General features: G+C 41.5%; 1 protein-coding gene across 3 annotated transcripts in view; it reads left to right on the forward strand.

The window, feature by feature from the left end:
- TRIP4 (thyroid hormone receptor interactor 4) overlaps positions 1-23,745 on the forward strand; it is a 67,468-nt gene that overhangs the window by 14,341 nt on the left and 29,382 nt on the right. For 2 of the 3 annotated variants that reach the window (NM_001321924.2, NM_016213.5), the window contains exons 6-11: positions 4,154-4,283; positions 7,437-7,652; positions 11,909-12,035; positions 16,365-16,552; positions 21,855-21,979; positions 23,364-23,455. In NM_001321924.2, coding sequence (NP_001308853.1) covers positions 4,154-4,283; positions 7,437-7,652; positions 11,909-12,035; positions 16,365-16,552; positions 21,855-21,979; positions 23,364-23,455 — 878 coding nt within the window. The remainder of the gene's footprint in view (positions 1-4,153; positions 4,284-7,436; positions 7,653-11,908; positions 12,036-16,364; positions 16,553-21,854; positions 21,980-23,363; positions 23,456-23,745) is intronic. The other variant, NR_135855.2, reaches the window with a different exon arrangement.

Consider the following 23,745-nt stretch of genomic DNA (forward strand, 5'->3'; position numbering starts at 1 on the left):
TGCATGCCTTTTATGCTTGAAACACACCTGACAAAAATGGTTAAGGACATTTTTTTTTTTTTTGAGACGGAGTTTCACTCTTTTTGCCCAGGCTGGAGTGCAATGGTGTGATCTCGGCTCACCGCAGCCTTCGCCTCCCAGGTTCAAGCGATTCTTCTGCCTCAGCCTCCCCAGTAGGTGGGATTACAGGCATGCGTCACCACCCTGACTAATTTTGTATTTTTAGTAGAGACAGGGTTTCTCCATGTTGGTCAGGCTGGTCTTGAGCTCCCGACCTCAGGTGTTCCACCCACCTCAGCCTCCCAAAGTGCTGGGATTAAGGTGTGAGCCACCGCGCCCGGCCAACATTTTTTTTTTTTTTTCTGAGACGGAGTTTTGCTCTTGTTGCCCAGGCTGGAGTGCAATGGCGCGATCTCAGCTCACTGCAACCTCCGCCACTTGGGTTCAAGTGATTCTCCTGCTTCAGCCTCTCAAGTAGCTGGGATTACAAGCGCATGCCACCTTGTCCAGCTAATTTTTTTGTATTTTTAGTAGAGATGGGGTTCTCCCATGTTGACTAGGCTGGTCTCGAACTCCTGACCTCAGATGATCTGCCCACCTCAACCTCCCAAAGTGCTGAGATTACAGGCGTGAGCCACCGCACTTGGTCAGTTAAGGACATTATTTTTATTTATTTATTATTTATTTAGTTAGTTAGTTTTGAGATGGAGTCTCGCTCTGTCGCCCAGGCTGGAGTGTGGTGGCGTGATCTCGGCTCGCTGCAAGCTCCATCTCCCAGGTTCATGCCATTCTCCTGCCTCAGCCTCCTGAGTAGTTGAGACTGGCGACGCCCGCCACCATGCCCGGCTAATTTTTTTGTATTTTTTTAGTATAGACGGTGTTTCACTGTGTTAGCCAAGATGGTCTCGATCTCCTGACCTTGTGATCCACCTGCCTTGGCCTCCCAAAGTGCTGGGATTACAGGCGCGAGCCACCGCACCCCTATTTTTAATTTTTTTTAGACGGAGTCTCGCTCTTTCGCCCGGGCTGGAGTGCAGTGGCGCAATCTTGGCTGACTGCAACCTCTGCCTCCTGGGTTCAAGCGATTCTCCTGCCTCAGCCTGCCACGTAGCTGGGACTACAGGCGTGCACCACTATGCCCAGTTAAATTTTGTATTTTTAGTAGAGATGGGGTTTCACCATGTTGGTTGGCCATGGTGGTCTTGATCTCTTGACCTCGTGTTCCACCCGCCTCGGCCTCCCAAAGTGCTGGAATTACAGGCATGAGCCACCGCGCCCAGCAGTTAAGGACACTATTAAAAAGAAAAACAATATACTCATTACTCACTACTTACGCAAATATTTCATTTTGTTCCTACCTTGGTTCATAGTAGTTTTTGTTTTATATCGACAGATTTGTTGGGATTATAATGTAGTCATCTGTGTAAAAACATTTGTTTTTCCATTTTCCAACTAATTCATAATTAGCTGCCATCTTGCTATATATTCATAATTGTTTTTAGTAGCTAAAAATAGTCTTTTAACTTGGTTTATTATAGTATGATTATTTCCTAATTACTGGATATTTGTTTCCAAATTTTAAATAATATTACAAATTGTCACCTTTATTAACATAGCTTTTGATTTACTTCCTTGTGATAAATTGCTAAGAATAATGTTACTATGTCAAATAATGTGTCTTTTTTTGACACTTGAGATGTATTTGCCAGATTATTTTGTCAAAATATATAAATAGCCGGGCATGGTGGCTCATGCCTGTAATCCTAGCACTTTGAGAGGCCGAGACGGGCGGATCACCTGAGGTTGGGAGTTTGAGACCAGCCTGACCAATGTGGAGAAACCCCGTCTCTACCAAAAACACAAAATTAGCCGTGCATGGTGGCACATGCCTGTAATCCCAGCTACTCAGGAGACTGAGGCTGGGAATTGCTTGAACCCCGGAGGCGGAGGTTGCAGTGAGCCGAGATTGCACCATTGCACTCCAGCCTGGGCAACGAGAGTGAAACTCCATCTCAAAAAAAAAAAATCATATTAATCTATAGCAATATTAGCATTGTACCCAGAATCCTGTTCACTCTTGAGTTTTGACATTTCAAATTTGTTTTAGTTGTAAAAGGCTGTAATTTTATTATTTTTTATTTTTATTTTTATTTATTTATTTGTTTTGAGACAGAGTCTCTGTCACCTAGGCTGGAGTGCAGTGGCGTGATCTTGGCTCACTGCAACTTCTGCCTCTCAGGTTCAAGCAATTCTCCTGCCTCAGCCTCCCAAGTAGCTGGGATTGCGGGCGCCTGCCACCACACCCAGCTAATTTTTGCATTTATAGTAGAGACAGGGTTTTGCCATGTTGGCCAGGCCTCCTGACCTCAGGTGATCCACCCACCTTGGCCTCCCAAAATGCTGGGATTACAGGCATGAACCACCGCGCTCGGCCTGTAATTTTATTATTAATGAGGTTGCACATGCCTCTATGTTTTTTTCAATTAGATTTTAAGGTAATCATTCTGAGAAAAAATAGTTCTGATTGTACGTACTGTCCTTGTTTGTTTGTTTGTTTTTAGACGGTCTCTGTCAGGCTGGAGTACATTGGTATGAACACATTTTACTGCAGCAATTCTCCTGCCTCAGCCTCCCAAGTAGCTGGATCTACAGGCTTGTACCACCGTGTCTGGCTAATTTTTAAATTGTTTGTACAGATGGGCTCTCACCATGTTGCCCAGGCTAGTCTTGAACTCCTAGGCTCAAGTGATCCTCCCACCTCAGCCTCCCAAAGTGCTGCAATTACAGGAGTGAGCCACTGCACACAGCCACCTAACCCATTTTGGATCTTGGGTGTATCATAATCTATGGCTCTCTTTTCTGGGATATACAAATTTACAATATGCTGTCAAAGAAGAAAACACAACCATGGAATCAATGTTGGCTTTAGAGTTATACTCGAGCTCAGATTTTGTTTCTATGGTCTAATTTCTTTTTCTTTTCTTTTTTTTTTTTTTGAGATGGAGTCTTGCTCTGTCGCCCAAGCTGGAGTGCAGTGGCACGGTCTCGGCTCACTGTAAGCTCAGCGTCCCAGGTTCATGCCATTGTCCTGCCTCAGCCTCCCAAGTAGCTGGGACTACAGGTGCCTGCCACCATGCCTGGCTAATTTTTTGTATTTTTAGTGGAGACAGGGTTTCACCATGTTAGCCAGGATGGTCTCGATCTCCTGACCTCATGATCCGCCCGCCTCAGCCTCCCAAAGTGCTGGGATTACAGGCGTGAGCCACTGCACCCGGCCACTGGTCTAATTTCTAACTGTGTGAACTCAGTAAATTTATAGTCATCTCTGAACTTCAGTTACTTTATCTGTAAAATAAAGATAATACAAACTGTCTTACAGGGTTATTGCGAAAATTAAATAACATGTATACTAAGTGACTCAGCATTTAGCAGGTTCTCATTAAACTGAAACTGTTCATTTTTTCTGCCCCTTTTGTGAAATTTTCTTTTTTCTTCCATTATTTAGTGTTTAGTTTTGATAATATAAACGTATATTTAGGCTGGCATAGTGGATCATGTCTGGAATCCCAGTACTTTGAGGTGCTGAGTTGGGAGGATTGCTTGAAGCCAGGACTTTGAAACCAGCCTGAGCAACATAGTGAGACCCGCCTCTCTACAAAAATTTAAAAATTCAGACACAATGGCATGTGCCTGTTGTCTCAGCTATTCAGGAAGCTGAGGTGGAAGGATCGCCTGAGCCTAAGAGTTTGAGACTGCAGTGAGCTATGATCACACTACTGCACTCCAGACTGGGCAACAGCATTAGATCCTGTCTTGAAAAAACGTATATTTAAAGGTAATATTGAGCAAATGTCTTCTTCACTGAGAAGGCATTTTTATGTCACATTCTTAAATACTTTGGTGCCCTTAGTGAACCAAATTTTTATAAAGGAAGAAAAGATCCCTGCCATTTATTGAAAACCTGTCATGTGTCAAGCACTGCTTACTGCTGTACAGGTAAGGCCTGGACTGTGTACTTGTTTTCTGTTGAAATGAAGGCTCCAGGCCATCAGGCCAGAACCAGATCTTCTGATGTTTTGTTCTTTGTTGCACACTGGTACAACTAATTTGTATTTAGAGGCTGACACCATTTGACTTCCTTATTGAATTTCAGGAGTGGAGAATTCTGGAAAGGTGGACATCTCTACCAAGGACCTTCTTCCTCATCAAGAATTGCGAATTAAGTCTGGTCTGGAGAAGGCTATCAAGCATAAAGACAAACTGTTAGAGTTTGACAGAACTAGGTATGAAAGGGTTAGAATAACAAATGCTAAGAAATAAACTAGTCCACAGATTCTGGCCATTATTTTGGTACTTGATACCTTCTCAAAGTGGAGTGTGAAAGAGTTTATAGCAAAAGAAGAGCCAGATGCTCTACATAGGAGGCCTACATCTTGTTTTTTAATCCACGGTTGAATAATATAGGCTCCTATGAAAAGAATCCTGTCCTGTAGCATTTTTTGATTCCTGACAAATGTTAGTATATCCCCTGGACAGTTATGTGAGTTGACAGAATTCACCACTTGTTTTACTTGTAGCCATTCATTCAGTCACCTGTATTAGAGTACGTGTTATTTGCAAACTGTTAGGCTGGGCTCTGGAGAATCTGTAAGGAATTGCCTCTGGGAGAACACAGGTTATGCCCTATCATAGGAGGGCATGATTTACCCTTCTCCTTTACTTTGACTAAATTTGTTTTTTGATTCAATAATCGGTATATTAAAATACAACTAAATTAGCTTTATACTACTGCATTATTATTGTTTAGCCCATTGACTTCTGTTTAGGAGATAGATTTATGATAATTCTGTTTTTGACTTCCTCCTTACTTACATTTTTTTTTCTTTTGAAAAAAATACTTGTTGAAAACCAGTTAGTGGTAAAAAATGTTTGGATAGGATTTATATGCTCCCTTCTCAAATGACTCTGAGGGTCCTCAGAGAGACCCTGAATCTCTTGTAACCTGAGAGTCTGTTGCTGACAGTGTAATCTTTTGATGGGACATTCCTGCTACTTCCAAACCATTTGCTATGAATACATGAGATAAGATTTAGAAAACTATTCCTTAAATAAACCCATCACAAGGTGTATAACTCATATTCACTCTTCATCCTTTCAGTATCACATTTCACCCTACTCAGTAGAACGTATTATTAGAAATAGAAATGGAAGCCGGGCACGGTGGCTCACACCTGTAATCCCGGCACTTGGGGAGGCCGAGGCAGGTGGATCACGAGATCAGGAGATCCAGACCATCCTGGCTAACACAGTGAAACCCCATCTCACTAAAAATACAAAAAAATTAGCCAAGCGTGGTGGCAGGTGCCTGTAGTCCCAGGTACTCGGGAGGCTGAGGCAGGAGAATGGCATGAACCCAGGAGGCGGAGCTTGCAGTGAGCCAAGATTGTGCCACTGCACTCCAGCCTGGGCAACAGAGTGAGACTCTGTCTCAAAAAAAAAATAATAATAATAGAAATAGAATGCACTTACTTTTTGATAAACAGAAAGTGGAAAAGGGTCTCTCCCTATTGTTGCTGTTTTGCTGGTGTATTCATGGATACCAGTTTCATTATCTAGGTTTTTGTATAAGACCAATTTCCACCAGGCACAGTGGCTCACGCCTGTAATCCTAGCACTTTGGGAGGCCAAGGCAGACGGATTGCTTGAGCCTGTAAGTTTGAGAGCAGCCTGGGCAGCATAGCAAAACCCTGTCTGTACAAAAAATACAGAAATTAGCCAGGAGTAATGTTACATGCCTGTAATCCCAGCTACTTGGGAGGCTGAGGTGGGAGTATTGATTGAGACTGGGAGGTGGAGGTTACAGTGAGGCGAGATTAATCCAGTGCACTCCAGCCTGGGTGTCACAGCGAGATTGTCTCAAAAAAAAAAAAAAAATTCCTCCAGAGTACTGTTAAAAAAGTTTCTACTCTAAGTCTGCTTTATTTTTGTTTTTTTTTTTTGATCCGCCAGCCTCGGCCTCCCAAAGTGCTGGAATTACAGGTGTGAGCCACCGTGCCTGGCCTAAGAAGACAAATTTTTTTTTTTTTTTTTTTTTTTTTTTGAGATGGAGTCTTGCTCTGTCGCCTGGGCTGCAGTGCAGTGGCGCCATCTCGGCTTACTGCAAGCTCCGCCCCCTGGACTCACGCCATTCTCCCGCCTCAGCCTCCTGAGTAGCTGGGACTACAGGCGCCCGCCACTACGCCCAGCTAATTTTTTTGTATTTTTAGTAGAGACGGGGTTTCACCGTGTTAGCCAGGATGGTCTCGATCTCCTGACCTTGTGATCCGTCCGCCTCAGCCTCCCAAAGTGTTGGGATTACAGGTGTTGAGCCACTGTGCCCGGCTGACAAAATTTTTTTATAATTCTAGCTGAGTATGAAAATTTGAAGCCAATATATGAATCTAACTTCAGTATTTCCCTTATGTCTATTTATGTCACTATTTGTAATTATGGGGAAACGTAATCTTAACTGGATTTATGACATTGGAGTAATCACTCAACTTCTATGAGCCCCAGGTTTATAATATGTAGAATTAGAGAGTTAGACCATCAAGATTCCTTCCAGGTTTTAGTGTCTCTGTCAGTATGATCTTAGAGATAGGCCTAATTGTCATATTTTGGAACTTGGCCCCAGTGCATTAGTGAGAGCCTGCAAAGTGGGGTATAGGTAATGACATATAGTAGTAGGGTAATAGAATGTCTTAAGAGTAAATAGTTGGCCAGGCACAGTGGCTCACACCTGTAATCCTAGCACTTTGGGAGGCCAAGGTGGGTGGATCACGAGGTCAGGAGTTCAAGACCAGCCAAGCCAAGATGGTGAAACCCCATCCCTACTAAAAATACAAAAATTAGCCAGGCATGGTGTTGCGCCTATAATCCCAGCTACTCAGGTGGCTGAGGCAGAGAACTGCTTGAACTGAGGAGGCAGTCACACCACTGCACTCCAGCCTGAGCGACAGAACGAGACTCTGTCTCAAAAAAAAAAAAAAGGTAAATAGTTAAGCTACAGAACTGAGACTTAAGCATAGAACTCCAGTAAGCAAATAAGCCTAGCAAGAATAGGCTGGATCCCAGTTACAGAGGGACTAGGATATTTAGTAAGCTGTCAAACTTGAACTCAGATGCAGCAAAACCAGGCTGAAGCCCAGCTTTCAGAAGGTAGAGGCTGGACTAATATGAAAGGTAGAAGGAAAATGTATTATGGTGCTGTGTCTTTTCTTGCCTGAGGTTGAGATAAGTTCTAGGAGCTGAGCCTACACTGGAGATAAAACATATGCAGAGCTTGACCTGATTTTGGAACATATTTGAGATATTAAGTTACCTTGAAACTGTTTTCCAATAATCGGTCCTTATTTGTCAACAGATGACCTAATTACCATGTGTTCCCTTTTTCTCAGTATTCGAAGGACCCAAGTCATTGATGATGAGTCAGATTACTTTGCCAGTGATTCTAACCAATGGTTGTCCAAACTTGAGCGGGAAACCTTGCAGAAGCGAGAGGAGGAGCTGAGAGAACTTCGACACGCCTCTCGACTTTCTAAGAAGGTCACCATTGACTTTGCAGGAAGGAAGATCCTGGAAGAAGAAAATTCACTAGCAGAGTATCATAGCAGGTAAGTGAGCAGCACTAGAAAGGGTCTCAAAGAAGGAACAGGTTGACCATAAAGGATTTTCCCTTTCTAGTGGATCTTTTATTTTTGTTGATTTAAAAAATGTGTTTATTTGGAACAGAAAACATGTTAAGAATAGCTAAGAAAAAATGTTTAAATGAGCACTCCTACCAGATAATTACTGATTTTTGTGGTTTGGTTTTTTTTTTTTTTTTTTTGAGATGGAGTCTCGCTTTGTTGCCCAGGCTGGAGTGCAGTGGCCTGATCTTGGCTCACTGCAACCTCCGCCTCCCAGGTTCAAGCCATTCTCCTGCCTCAGCCCCTTGAGTAGCTGGGATTACAGGTGCCCACCACCATGCCCAGCTAATTTTTGTATTTTTAGTAGAGACAGGTTTTCACCATGTTGGCCAGGCTGGTCTCAAACTACTGACCTCAAGTGATCCGCCTACCTCAGCCTCTGAAAGTGCTGGGATTATAGGCATGAGTCACCATGCTCAGCAAAAAAAAGTTTTTAAAACAATGAGATATAGTATGGGCACAGAAATAGATCAATGAAACAGAATCCAGAAAGAGATTGGTATGTTTACATTGTGTTTGTATGTGTGCATGGGTGTGTGTATATATGTATGTGAGTTTAGTAATCAATAAAGCTAACATTTTTAATTGCTAAAGCAATAATTAAATATGTTATTTTGGGATAATTGCCTGTTTAGAAAAAAATCTAGGTAATGTCTTTATCTCAGACCATTCTATGATGCTGTAATAAGTTTCACTAAAGAGTTAAATATAAACAATATAAAGGGATCAGAAAGAAATACAGAATTATAGGAGAATATAATTATAGTCTTGGTGTGATAAAGCTCTTCCTAAGCAAGATACAAAATCCTGAAGTCATGAAGATATAAGATATTTTAAATAAAAAAGACAGTACCAAGTTGGAAGAAAATATTTTAAGTGGTTTTAACAGTCAAAGGAACAATATCCATACTATATAAGTAAGAACTCTTGCAAATTAAAAGAAAATGACCAAAAACTCCAGCAGAAAAATGGACAAAAACTAAAAACAATTTACAAGTGGGGAAGTACAAATAGCCAGTAACATTTGAAAAGATGTTTAACTAGCAATCAGGAAATACAGATTTTAAAACAATATATCAATTTTCTTTGGCTCATCAAATTTGGCTTAAATTTTTTTTAAAGGATAATATTGCATATTGTGTGGGTATAGGAAAATGGGGATATTCTGTTACTGTGAATGGGAGTATTAAAATGATGCAGCCTACATACTGTATGATTTTAACTATTCAGTAGTTCCAGGGATTAGAAGAGAGGGAGGAATAAATAGAAGGAGCACAGAGAAGATTTTTAAAGCAGTGAAACTACTCTGTATGTAGTTATAATGGTAAATACATGTCATTATAAATTTGTCCAAACCCATAAATTGTACAATACCAGGAGTGAACGCTAATGTAAACTATGGCTTTTGGGTGATAATGATGTGTCAATGTAGGTTGATCAGTTGTAACAAATGTACCACTCTGGTGAGGGATGCTAATAATGGGGGAGGCTATGTATTTGGGAGGTCTCAGGGAATGTGGATAACCTCTGTATATTCCTCTCAATTTTGCTCTGAACCTAAAACTGCTCTAAAAAATAAAGCCTAAGGCTGGGTGCGGTGGCTCACACCTGTAATTTCAGCACTTTGGGAGGCCAAGGTGGGAGGATCACTTGAGGCCAGGAGTTCAAGACCAGCCTGGGCAACATATTGAGACCCCACCTTAAAAAAAAGTCTATTAACATAAATACATAAACAAAAAAGTTACAACTTTTTAGAAGAGAATATTTAAATTGTGCATACTGTTTTTTTTTTTTGAGACAAAGTCTCGCTCTGTTGCCCAGGCTGGAGTGCAGTGGCGCGATCTTGGCTCACTGCAAGCTCCGCCTCCCAGATTCACGCCATTCTCCTGACTCAGCCTCCCAAGTAGCTGGGACTACCAACGCCCGCCACCACGCCTGGCTAATTTTTTTTGTAGTTTTAGTAGAGACAGGGTTTCACCGTGTTAGCCAGGATGGTCTCAATCTCCTGACCTCGTGATCCACCCGCCTCGGCCTCCCAAAGTGCTGGGATACAGGCGTGAACCACTGCGCCCGGCACTAAATTGTGCATACTTTTGACTTATCAGCTACACACCACATATCAAGATAACAATTTCCTTTTCCCTTGTCAAAGATTTTTTAAAAAAATTGCCATTTTCAGACATGAAAAATAGTATTTCATTCTAATTTTTATTCACATTCCTTTGCTTTAGTTGTATGTTAGTAAGTTTGAGTGTTCTGAAAATGTATTCATTTGCTTTTTTACTATTTCTTTTATAGAGATTCTAGAGTTCTGGATATACTTATCATTTTACTGTGTCAAATTTATTCCTCTCTTTCAGACCTCACTCTCCCCACGCTATTTTAGACTTACCTCATCATACAAATTCTTATACTTTTTAAAAGCTTCAGGCCTTTGTTTCTGATTTTTCCTTGGTTTGGAAATTCCTCCTCCATTCTTTGCATTTCACATACCTACCTCTCCCTTGAACCTACATGATACAACATGTTGGATGATGGAATAATAACCACTAAATGGATTGTGCCTGTTTCATAGTAATTATTACATCCCCTCATGTATGATTCATCATCTATACGGCTTTCTTAAATCTGCCACTTGGATTGAAAGCCTCTTTAAAAAAAAAAAAAAAGCCTCTTGAAGGCAGGAACAATGTCTTCCCCACCTTTTAAGCTGCCTTATATATGAGGTATTCCTAACAAACATATATTGAATTGAATTGAAGGTCAAGTTTAGCCTTTCCTGTTAGTTGAAGCTTTTCATTATGTTGTGCCTCACAATTATTATTGTTATCCACAAACGTTTTGTCAAGCATCCAACAGGAGTATTGAATAGAGTAGCAAGTACTGTAGAGCTATAGAATGAATTAAGATAGGGTTCCTTCAGGGCTTATGATCTCTTACTAACTAACCAGTAGGTTTCCACAATCTTTAAATGAAAATCATCACATTCTTTTATAGGTTTAGAGCCAGATATCCAATGCCAACATCATAGGCATGGGATAACAGGGGATGTATCCAATGATTGTTTAGATAGTGGGTACTATAGGACCTTAGAGAAAGGATTAAGCATTTTTGTTCTGGGCCAGTAGGGTACCTCTTTATAACTTCTGAGCCTTCAAGCAAAGATAGAATGCAGACTAGCAAGAAGGAGTGGAGAAAGGACTGCTGAGCAGACAGAGGAATAACTGTATAGGTTGTATTGCGAAGATGAGCTGCCATAGAATACTCTTCTGTGGGTCAGGGTATTCCTAGGCAACTTTTTTTTTTCTTTTTGTGACAGGGCCTTATTGACTATTGCCCAAGCTGGAGGGCAGTGGCGCCTTGAACTCCTGGGCTCAAGTGATCCTCCCATCTCATCCTCCCAAGTAGCTAGAACTACAGGTGTGAGCCACCATGCCCAGCTAATTTATTTTTTGTAGAACCAGGGTCTCTCTATGTTGCCCAAGCTGGTCTCAAACTCCTGGCCTCAAGTGATCCGCCCTCTTTGGCCTATGATAGTGTTGGAATTACAGGCACGAGCCACCACTCCTGGCCTCTAGGCAGCTTTTCTGGTCTTGGCATGTTTAATGATCTTGTTGAGCAGGTGAATGACTGTAGCGTGCCCTATGTATTTTCTTGGTATTCTGGAACTTTTATTTTATTTATTTTTATTTTTTTTTATTTTTTTGAGACAGTCTCACTCTATTGCCCAGGCTGGAGTGCAGTGGCACGATCTCGGCTCATTGCAACCTCCTCCGCAGTTTCAAGTGATTCTCCTGCCTCAGCCTCCCGAGTAGCTGGGACTACAGGCGTGTGCTACCATGCTCAGCTAATTTTTGTATTTTTAGTAGAGATGGGGTTTCACCATGTTGGCCAGGATGGTCTCGATCCCTTGACCTTGTGATCCGCCCTCCTTGGCCTCCCAAAGTCCTGGAATTACAGGAGTGAGCCACTGTGCCTGGCCATTCTGCAATATTCATTAACTCATATTCCTTAGGGTTTTTGGTGTGAGAAGGAAGTTGGAGTGGGGAGTAGGGAAGGTCATCCATAGACTCCTCTTTATATTCCAAATTTTATTACTATTAAAGCATTTTATGTTGGTGGTAAGCATTCTGAGCATAGAACATTACCAATTGTTGCATCCTTTTGGTTTATTATCACAGACTAGATGAGACAATACAGGCCATTGCCAATGGAACCTTGAACCAGCCACTGACCAAATTGGATAGATCTTCTGAAGAGCCTTTGGGAGTTCTGGTAAATCCCAACATGTACCAGTCCCCTCCCCAGGTTAGTGGACCTTTGCTCTAACTGTTAATAAGAAGTTTGGCCCCAATTTTGCCTTCTTTTAAGTATGTCTATTTCATAGACTTCAGATACCAATCAGCTCTCTCAATACACCTGTACCAATCAGCTCTCTCAACACACCTGCCAACCTTATTCTCTGGCCCACATTTTTTCCATTTTTATTGCAGTACTTCTGACAAATTGACTTGTTTTATCTTCCAAGTACTTCCCAAGAAAGGGTTTTGTTAAGTACTATAGAAATTTAGACAGAAATTCCATGGTTCTTTTGTTAATGCTCTTTCTCTTTTTTTTTTTTTTTTTTTTTTGAGATGGAGTCTCACTCTGTTGCCCAGGCTGGAGTGCAGTGGCATGATCTCGGGTCACTGCAACCTCCGCCTCCCAGGTTCAAGCTATTCTCCTGCTTCAGCCTCCTGAGTAGCTGGGACTACAGGTGCCCGCTACCACGCCCAGCGAATTTTTTGTATTTTTTAATAGAGACAGGGTTTCACCGTGTTAGCCAGGATGGTCTAGATCTCCTGACCTCGTGATCTACCTGCCTCAACCTCCCAAAGTGCCCAGCTATCAATGGGTTTTATAGGGAAGCTGGCATTCATTAAAAGTAAATATTCACCAGGCGCACTTTGGGAGGCTGAGGTGGGCAGATTGCTTGAGCCTGGGAGTTCTAGACCAGCCTGAGCAACATGGCAAAACCCCGTCTCTACTAAAAATACAAAAATTAGCTGGCCATGGTGGCGTGGTGCCTGTAGTCCCAGCTACTTAGGAGGCTGAGTCGGGAGAATCACCTGAGCCCAGGAGGCAGAGGTTGCAGTGAGCTATGATCATGCCACTGCACTCCAGCCTGGGTGACAGAGTGAGACCCTGTCTCAAAAAAAAAAAAGCAAATATTTTTGAAAAATATATGTTTGGGAATGGTGGAGAAAAAAATTCCAGGCAGAATGAATTGTAGGAACAAAGGCATGTGTACACAAAAACATGGGATATAGATATAGGAATTTCCAAGCACACAAATCTGGAGAGGGAATTTCCAGGCAGAAGGTACAACACATACAAAGGCTCAGCAGCGTGAGAGCATTGCAGGTTTGGGGAATCACAAGTAATTAACTATTGTTATGGACTGATAAGTGTATTAGTTTCCTAGGGCTGCTGTAACAAAGTACCACAAATTAGGTGACCTAAACAACAGAAATTTATTATCCCATACCTGGAGGCTAAAAGCCCGAAATCAAGGTGTTGGAAAGACTACATTCCCTCTGAAGGCTTTACAGGAGAATGCTTACTTACCTCTTTAAGATTCTGGTGGCTCTAGGTGTCTTTTGCCTTGTAGCTCATTACTCTAATCTCTGCCTCTGTCTTCACATGGACTTCTTCCCCATGTGTGTCTCTGTCACTGTGTGCTCTCTCCTCTTACAAGGATACAAGTCATTGGATTTAGGGCCTACTATAATCTAATATAACCTCATCTTAAACTGATTACACCTGTAAAGATTATTTCCAAATAAGGTTGTATTCACAGATTCCATGAACGTGGACATTGATTTTGGGGGGATACTACTCAACCCAGTACAGTAAGCAACACCTGATCATGAAAGATTTTTTGTCTTATGCTAATGAGTTTAGGTTTTGCCCTAAAGTAGGCAAAGAAGGGTTCTGGAAGAATTTTAACAGAAGATTGGCATGGCTTCCATGCCTACGTAGAGAATGGATTGGAGGGAAGAGTAAGTAAGATTAGAAGCTGAGAAATTGCCAAGGTAGTCATTGCAATAGCACCATGGAAAGATGATGCCAGCCCAAATTAGTATTAAAGCACTAGTGGAGCAGTAGAGAGTTATTTAAAGACCAAAAGTGGGAGCCGGGCCTGAGATGTAGTGATACACATCTATAGTCCCAGATACTTGGGAAGCTGAGGTGGGAGGATCACTTGAGACCAGGAGTTGGAGGCTGCAGTGAGCTATGATTAAGCCACCACACTCCAGCCTGGATGACACAGTGAGACCCCATCTCTAAAAAAAAATAATTATCATCATAAAGACTAAAAATGTAGATGAAGAGACCTGCTGGCAGATTCTTTAATAGTATTATCAAAAGATAATGAGGAATTAATTTAGGAAAGTGGCTGTGTAATTAGAGGGAACAGCTGTAGTAGAAATAGAAAAAATAATTTGGGCCTCAAGATTGTTCACATACCAACATTTTATGAAATTATTTATTTCCAGCCAGGTGTGGTGGCTCACGTCTGTAATCCTAGCATTTTGGGAGGCTGAGGAAGGAGGATCACTTGAAGCCAGGAGGTCAAGACCAGCCTGGGCAACAGAGCAAGACAGTGTCTCAAAAAAAATTTTTTTTAAAGAAATTATTTATTTACCCTATAATGGATCAATTCTTTTTCCTCTTTGGTCCTCTGTAAAAACTTCTATCTCCTATTTAGTATGTAGTCAATTCTGCCTTATGTTTTGAATAGTTATTTATGTGTCTGTCTTCCACTAGGCTTTAAGTTCCTTGCAAGCAAGAACCGTATCTTTTTCATATTTTATGTCTCCCTAGTTAATGTGCTTTTCACAGTTAAGTACTCAATAAATGTGTATTTAATTTGTAAAAATGTGTATTTTTAAGATATGCCACAATTGACAAGAATCATAAAATTGTATGGCAGAAAGATCCTTAGAAATTTATTTAGTCCAACTTCATCCTTTTCCAGTTTGAAAAACTGAAATCTTTAGGGGTTAAATGCCTAGGGTTTCGACTACCACTAGAAGTTTTTTCCTATAAGTTATTTTATGTTCATTTTTATTTATTTTTGAGACAGGATATTGTTCTGTCATCCAGGCTAGAGTGCAGTGGTATGATCATAGCTCACTGCAGCCTCCACCTCCCAGGCTCGAGAGATCCTCCCATCTCAGCTTCTCAAGTGGCTCAGACTACAGTAGCCACGTGCCATCATACCTTACTAATTTGTATATTTTTTTGTAGAGAAGGAGTTTCGCCTTGTTGCCCAGGTTGGTCTTAAACTTCTGGGCTCAAGCGATCCTCCTGCCTTGGCCTCCTTAAGTGCTGGGATTACAGACATCGGCCATCATGCCTGGCCCTTATTATTATTTTTAAAGACACAGGACCTCACCATGTTGCCCAGGCTGGCCTTGAACTTATGGGCTCAAGTGATCCTCCTGCCTCACCTCCTGAGTAACTAGTGAAGCTACAGGCATGCTTCACTGTGTTCAGCTTTATAAATTATTAATTTTTTAAAAAAGATAACCCCAAATATCATCATGCTAATTGCCTTTATTTTTAAATTTTAATTTTGGAGGACATGGTATCGTTGCTCTGGAAGAAACATTAACCTTTGCCATTCTCTGTCTGAACTGTTGCCAAGACTCTTCACTCTCCTGTAATTACCTGTACCTTATAATTCTCTATTCTTTTTATATGATGGGAGCCCTGTTTTAGTAGTCCTCCACCCTCTCTTTCAGGAGACAAGTTCTTCATTTCAGGGTAAGAGAATATTTCATGCATCCAGTAGTCAGAACTGCTGCCTCTGACCTGACAACATCTGTTTGGCTTTGTCATGGTGCCAGCATGTGACACTGCCCCTAAGCACATGCAGAATTGTGGACCAAAATGTTGAACTTTCATTTAGCTCACAGAATTCTATTGAAAAATTATCCAGAACCAAGTATGGATCATTAAGTATAAATTGGAAATAATTATAGCTCTTTTGGTGTGATATTTGTGCTGTTGCTGGAATTAGTAAGCATTGTATGGAGATTTCAACATTCTAATTATTCTTTAAGATGGGCCTTGTTATCATACCTGAGACTTCTACTGAATGTATACTATCTCTACCCTTTTGGCCTTATTGCAGACAAAGATGGGATTATTTTTCATTTGTTGTTGTTGTTGTTGTTGTTCTGAGACAGAGTCTCTCTTGCCCAGGCTGGAGTGCAGTGGCACAATCTTGGCTCATTGCAACCTCCACCTCCTGGGTTCAAATGATTCTCCTGCCTCTGCCTCATGAGTAGCTGGGATTATAGGCACCTGCCACCACGCCCAGCTAATTTTTGTAGTTTTAGTAGAGATGGGGTTTCACCATGTTAGCCAGACTGGCCTAGAACTCCTGACCTCAAGTGATCCACCCGCCTTGGCCTCTCAAAGTGCTGGGATTACAGGCGTGAGCCACGATGCCCGGCCTGGGATATATTTTTCTAAGAAAAATGTTCCCAATATGATTTCCTCATTATTAGCATTCGCATCATTTTGTCTACCTACCCCAGATTCTTGCCTTATAAGATAGAACTGTATGTTTGTTTTTCTGTGTAGTGGGTTGACCACACAGGTGCAGCCTCACAGAAGAAGGCTTTCCGTTCTTCAGGATTTGGACTAGAGTTCAACTCATTTCAGCACCAGTTGCGAATCCAGGATCAAGAATTTCAGGAAGGCTTTGATGGTGGCTGGTGCCTCTCTGTACATCAGCCCTGGGCTTCTCTGCTTGTCAGAGGGATTAAAAGGTAAGAATAAAAATGAATCTGGGCAGTGGAAGATCTTAGAGTGACATAAATTTAATTTAGAAATATGAATTGGAATTAGTTTTCCTCAATCTAGTGATGATTTATAATACTCTTCAATAAATAGAACTTTGAACAACATATTCATGTTACTGACTTGGTAGCAGTATATTTTAAAATTAATTTCAAAACATTTAAATTGACAAATATAGTAGTAGTTTTTGTACTGAATAGCTTAAACAAACTGAGCATAAAAAGGCTAAGAAAGTCATAACAAAGATAGAAGACTAATTTTTTCATCTTTGGAAGGAAATCTATTGAAAAATCTTCTCTTGGCTTTGCTTTGGAATATACTACTAAGCAACCTTAATAATTTGATCCTATTTGAAACATAGTTTTGATGCCTATTTACTTATTAAGATACCAGCATAACTGATTTTATTTTCCTGTCCATATATCTAACTATTAATCTGGCTAATAATATTGAGAAACTATTTTATTACAAAATGCTTTTCTACAAAAGTAGGGGAAATTGAGATAAGTAGAGGTATTATACAGCTGAGTTACACCTGTTACTGATAATAATATTTAATAGCTTACTATTCCGTGGTGTCTTGTGTTTTTTTCTTTTCTTTTCTTTTCTTTTTTTTTAAAGACCGAGTCTTGCTCTGTCACCAGGCTGGAGTGCAGTGGCGTGGTCTCGGCTCACTGCAACCTCCGCCTCCCAGGTTCACGCCATTCTCCTGCCTCAGCCTCCCAGGTAGCTGGGACTACAGGCGCCCGCCACCACACCTGGTTAATTTTTTGTATTTTTAGTAGAGACGGGGTTTCACCTTGTTAGCCAGGCTGGTCTCGATCTCCTGACCTCGTGATCCGCCCGCCTCGGCCTCCCAAAGTGCTGGGATTACAGACGTGAACCACCGCGCCTGGTGTGTTTGTTTCTTAATTCAGTTTTTAAAAATAGTGTTTTTCTTGGCTTTTATTATCCATGTAAATGGAAAACTGTAAAGCACAGAAAAGTAGCTAGAAAAAGAAAGATTACCTATAATCCCACACCAAGAAACCGCTGTTATTAGCATTTTGGAGTGTTTCTATCTTTCTTTTTTTTGAGACAGAGTCTTGCTCTGTCACCCAGGCTAGAGTGCAGTGGCCTGATCTCGGCTCACTGCAACCTCTGCCTCCCAGGTTCAAGCAATTCTACAGCCTCAGCCTCCCGAGTAGCTGGGATCACAGGCGCCCGCCACCACACCTGGTTAATTTTTGTATTTTTAGTAGAGATGAGGTTTCACCATGTTGGCCAGGCTGGTCTTGAACTCCTAACATCGTGATTCGCCCACCTTGGCCTCCCAAACTGCTGGGATTATAGGTGTGAGCCACTGTGCCTGGCTTCTTTCTTTCTTTTTTTTTTTTTTTGAGACGAAGTTTTGCTCTTGTTTCCCAGGCTGGAGTGCAATGGTGCGTTATCAGCTCACTGCAACCTCCACCTCCCGGGTTCAAGCCATTCTCCTGCCTCAGCCTCCTGAGTAGCTGGGTTCACACGCATGTGCCACCACGCCTGGCTATTTTTGTATTTTTAGTAGAGACGAGGTTTCTCCATGTTGGTCAGGCTGGTCTCAAACTCCCGAACTCAGGTGATCTGACCACCTCAGCCTCCCAAAGTGCTGGGATTACAGGTGTGAGCCAATGCGCCCGGCTGTTTCTATTTTTCTTGTGTAAATTGTTAAATGGTGAGAGCATGATATATATGTTTGTGTTTTTCTTCTTTCACTTATCATTACAACATATGTCTTTTGCTTCTTATTTCTTTTTTTTTTTTGAAATGAAGTCTTGCTCTGTCGCCCTAGCTGGAGTGCAGTGGCGTGATCTCAGCTCACTGCAAGCTCCGCCTCCCAGGTTCACACCTTTCTCCTGCCTCAGCCTCCTGAGTAGCTGGGACTACGGGCGCCCGCCACCATGCCCAGCTAATTTGTGTATGTGTGTGTGTTTTTACTAGAGATGGTGTTTCACCGTGTTAGTCAGGATGGTCTCGATCTCCTGATCTTGTGATCTGCCCGCCTCGGCCTCTCAAAGTGCTGGGATTATAGGCGTGAGCCACCGTGCCAGGCCATTTCTTATTTTTTTCTATTAGAATTTTATATGCCTGGCAATGTCCCAACTCATAACAGTAAAAATACCTTATATTTAAATAGAATTTTAGTTTTCAAGGCAGTAGCTCTATGAAATACACGCATGTGCTGCATAACGACTTTTCAATCAGCAATGGAACACATGTACAACAGTGGTCCCATAAGATTAGAATACCGGCCGGTCACGGTGGCTCATGCCTGTAATCCCAGCACTTTAGGAGGCCGAGGTGGGCGGATCACAAGGTCATGGTGAAACCCTGTTTCTACTAAAAATATAAAAATTAGCCAGGCGTGGTGGTGTGTGCCTGTAATCCCAGCTACTCAAGAGGCTGAGGCAGGAGAATTTCTTGAACCCGGGAGGTGGAGGTTGCAGTGAGCCAAGATTGCATCATTGCACTCCAGCCTGGGCGACAGAGTGAGACTCCATCTGAAAAAAAAAAAATTATAATACTATATTTTTACGCTACCTTTTATTTTCTTTCTTTCTTTCATTTTTTTTTTTTAAGACAGGATCTCGCTCTGTTGCCCAGGCTGGAGTGCAGTGGCATGATCTCGGCTTGCTGCAACCTCCACCTTCCAGGTTAAAGCATTCTCCAGCCTCAGCCTCTCGAGTAGCTGGGATTACAGACATGCACCACCATGCCCGGCTAATTTTTGTATTTTTAGAAGAGATGAGGTTTTGCCCTGTTGGCCAGGCTGGTCTCAAACTCCTGACCTCAAGTGATCCACCCGCCTCCACTTCCCAAAGTGCTGGGATTACAGACATGAGCCACCATGCTCAGCCTTTACTGTACCTTTTCTATGTCTAGATGTATTTACATACGCAAATAGTTAACCACTGTGCTCCAGCTGCCTACAGTATTCTGTACAGTAACATGCTGTACCAGCTTGTAACTTAAGAATAAGAGGCTGCCGGGCACGGTGGCTCACGCCTATAATCCCAGCACTTTGGGAGGTCAAGGTGGGTAGATCACCTGAGTTCAGGAGTTCAAGACCATCCTAGCCAACATGGCGAAACCCCATCTCTACTAAAAATAACAAAAATTAGCGGAGCATGGTGGTGCATGCCTATAATTCTAGCTACTCGGGAGGCTGAGGCAGGATAATTGCTTGAACCCAGGAGACAGAGGCTGGAGTGAGCCGAGATTGCCTGGGTGATAGAGTGAGACTCAGTCTCAAAAAAAAAAAAAAGAGCAAGAGGCTATACCATAGCCTAGGTGTGTAGTAGGTTATACTATCTAGGTTTGTGTAAGTTCAGCCAATGAAATTGCCTAAAGACACATTTCTCAGGACATATCCCCATTGTTAAGCAAGATGTGACTGTAGATTAGGCCAGTATTATTATAGTCTTTGACAAATGAGGATACTGAAGCAGGCAAAGGTAAAATGGATTGCCCTGAAATATGAAGCTAGGTGATGACAGAGATGGAACTAGACTTCTGGTTTTCAGAGTGCTCTTTCCCCTCTACTGTTCAGGCTTCAGACGTTTCTCTACTTTACTTAAAAGCAAATGATTATCAGCATTTAGGCATAATCATTTCTACTTTGGTAGTTTCACTATTAGCTGCCATTTCTCTATTGTGTTAAGGTGCACTACACCTTTTCTCCCCTCTTGAAGGTCAGGTTTCCTTGCTTTGGCTCCTAATTGTTTCATAGTTCATGTCTGTAAACGCCATTAGAACAAGTGCATGGGAATCCGCTTCTGCTCCAGGATGATCAAAACCTTAGATGTCTGTTCTTCTCATTGAGTTTTCTGCAATTTAGGTGTCTTGCTTTTCCAAAGTAGAAAACTAAACAACTTGCCTTCTGCTAAGGGAATCAGAGTGTTTACATTTCTCTCATCCTATTTGGATCTGTTATTCAAATTTTCTCACAGAAGCGAAAGAATGAGCAGCATCTAGTACACAGTCACTTTATTTTAATCCCACAGAAATAAAGTAGGTGGTTTTGCCACATTTGTGGGACCATTTTCCCAGTAATTCTTCAGGTTATTTGGCCTAGAGGGAAGATATACATTGGTTCATTCCCCATATCGTGCACCTACTGTGTGCCTGGCACTCTTCCAATTTATCTATATTGGGAAACCAAGGATATGAAAAATTCATGACCCCATTTTCCATTATAAGAATGGGATAAGAGGGATATATTATCAAGGTACTTTATTTAATTTGGTGGGAGGGGAAAGAGAAACATCTTTTTGTAATCCTTGGAAAGTAGCAATTAAATTCTCCTGAATACATTCTGTTATTCTCTTTAGAGGTTTTTTCAAACTAGTCCACAAGTTGTTTAATAATCCTCAAAGAAAACCCCAAATACAATTTAAAAATGCAAATGGAGCCGGGCATGGTGGCTCATGCCTGTAATCCCAGCACTTTGGGAGGCCGAGGTGGGCAGATCACAAGGTCAAGAGATCGAGACCATCCTAACATGGTGAAACCCCATCTCTACTAAAAATACAGAAATTAGCTGGGTGTGGTGGCACGTGCGTGTAGTCCCAGCTACTCAAGAGGCTGAGGCAGGAGAATCGCTTGAACCCAGGAGGCGGAGGTTGCAGTGAGCCGAGGTCGCGCCACTGCTCTCCAGTCTGGCAACAGAGCGAGACTCCGTCTCAAAAAAAAAAAAAAAAAAAAAAAAAAGCAAATGGGTGTGGTTCTAATTGAAGAGTAAAGATAAGCGTTTTTATTTACTTAAATTATTTTAAATAAATAAAAAGTAACATTCTTGGGAGTTGTGTGTAGATGAGGATTTTTCTGTCAGGTTGGAGAACAAATCAACTAATCTTCTAGGGAAAGGTTAGCCTTTGACTCAAGGGCAAGGATTTCCATATCTCTAATATGATTTATATGCCTTGAAAATATAGGATTTGTATTGGAGAAGCACCAAGACTGGTCAGGGTTCCAAATCTGAGTTGTAGGGATCAGGTGAAAAGCAGTCAAGAGTTGAGAGAGATGACTTGTCGCTATTCTGATGGAGGAGAAATTAGTGGACAGAGTTCATCCTCAAGTGAAAAGTATTGTGAGAGAAAAGTGTTTTTGACAAAAGATACTGCTCTTGAGAAGGCATCATCTATAGACCTCTTGGTTCAACTGGATAATTTGCTATAGGATTTGTTATATATTATGGGATATTCCAGGAAACTAGAATTTATATCCTTCCCACTAAATTTCTATTTGTTTAAGGGTGGAGGGCAGATCCTGGTACACCCCCCACAGAGGACGACTTTGGATAGCAGCCACAGCTAAAAAACCCTCCCCTCAAGAAGTCTCAGAACTCCAGGCTACATATCGTCTTCTTCGTGGGAAAGGTAACAGCCGCATATTCTCCTTTCAATTTTACTTTATGGAGAGAAGTCATTGACGTTCATCTTCTTTCACTTCCTTCTTTCTTTGGCTTTTTCTTTGTTAAAAGAGACTTTTAATCTTTGTATATGTTTGTTTGTTTAGTGGTAAATCATTGACAGCGTTCAAAGCATTAATCTGTCAAAACAGTGCAAATAAAAATATCAATTTCCAACACAAGAAATCAACTAGTCTTAATTTTTTTATCTGAGAAAATCATCTTCTTTACTCTAAAGGTAAAATGACTAGTGTAAACTCTGAGATCCTTACATTGGGAAGAACAACCACAAATAGGAATTTTCATTGAGAGTGGCCTAAATAGACACCTACTATTGGATTTGTACAAATCAAAGTTGATTGATTTAAGCAACGTATTTTGGGAATCACCCCAAGAATACTAACTTTGGATCCTTAAAAAGACTTCTGACCTTTGGGCATCCTGTTTTTCCTTTGTGTTATCCAGCTCATACAGTTGTTTTGAGGGTAGAATAAAAGGACAACTACACAACCATCTTTAAAGGTTTTTAAGAAACAAGGCTTAAAGAATCACTAGGAATAAAAAGTTCATGCTTCCTTAAAAGCACTTTTCTTTTTTATTTTTTTTTGAGACAGAGTCTCGTTCTGTAACCAGACTGGAGTGCAGTGGCGCCATTTCTCCTCACTGCAACTTCCGCCTTCCAGGTTCAAGTGATTCTCCTGCCTCAGCCTTCCGAGTAGCTGGGACCACAGGCGCATGCCACCACACCCAGCTAATTTTTTGTATTTTTAGTAGAGACAGGGTTTCACCATGTTGGCCAGGCTGGTCTTGAACTCCTGACCTCAAGTGATCTGCCTGCCTTGGCCTCCAAAAGTGCTGGGGTTATAGGTGTGAGCTACTGAGCCCGGCCTAAAAGCACACTTCTATTCCTATTGATATGGACTGGCTTGTTTTAAAGACATTCATTCTTATGGTTTTAACCACATTTTGATGTTTTTTTTTTCTTGTCACCTGTAACTGCCTTACTTTGCTTCCAAAACTCATCACTGCCAAACTCCAATCTGATCCAATGGCGTATAGTAGAATCGATTTGTATTAGGATGAATTTGTGGGGTCCTTGAACTTTGATGGTATGAGGGCAAAGGAAAAATTTTCTAGCTTAACATGTGGATAGTGGACTAAGCCAGCCACTCACTAGATTTTTTTGCTAAAATGCAAACAGTTGTGCCAAGTAAATTTCACTGTTTTCCTTATGTCTACAAATAGATAATGGAAAAAGTTATTAATGTTTGTTCAGAATTGAAAACAGATTCCTGAGTTCCAAGATCACAAAGAAGGAAATTTATTCAATATTTTTGTTATTCCTGATTCAGATGTGGAATTTCCTAATGACTATCCGTCAGGTTGTCTTCTGGGCTGTGTGGACCTAATTGACTGCTTGTCCCAGAAGCAATTTAAGGAGCAGGTGAGTAAAGAATACTTTTTTTTTTTAGAGACAGGGTTTCGCCATGTTGGCCAGGCTGGTCTTGAAAGCACTTTAAGAGGCTGGGCCTCTTAAAAGTGCTGGGATTATAGGCATGAGCCACCACACCCAGCCTGGTGCATATAAATATCTGTATAAAAAGCTGTTTCCAGGCCGGGCGCTGGTGGCTCAGGCCTGTAATCCCAACACTTTGGGAGGCCGAGGCAGGTGGATCACAAGGTCAGGAGATCAAGACCATCCTGGCTAACACAGTGAAACCCCATCTCTACTAA

Source organism: Homo sapiens, chromosome 15 (assembly GCF_000001405.40).
Source record: "Homo sapiens chromosome 15, GRCh38.p14 Primary Assembly".
Taxonomy (NCBI): Eukaryota; Metazoa; Chordata; class Mammalia; order Primates; family Hominidae; genus Homo; species Homo sapiens.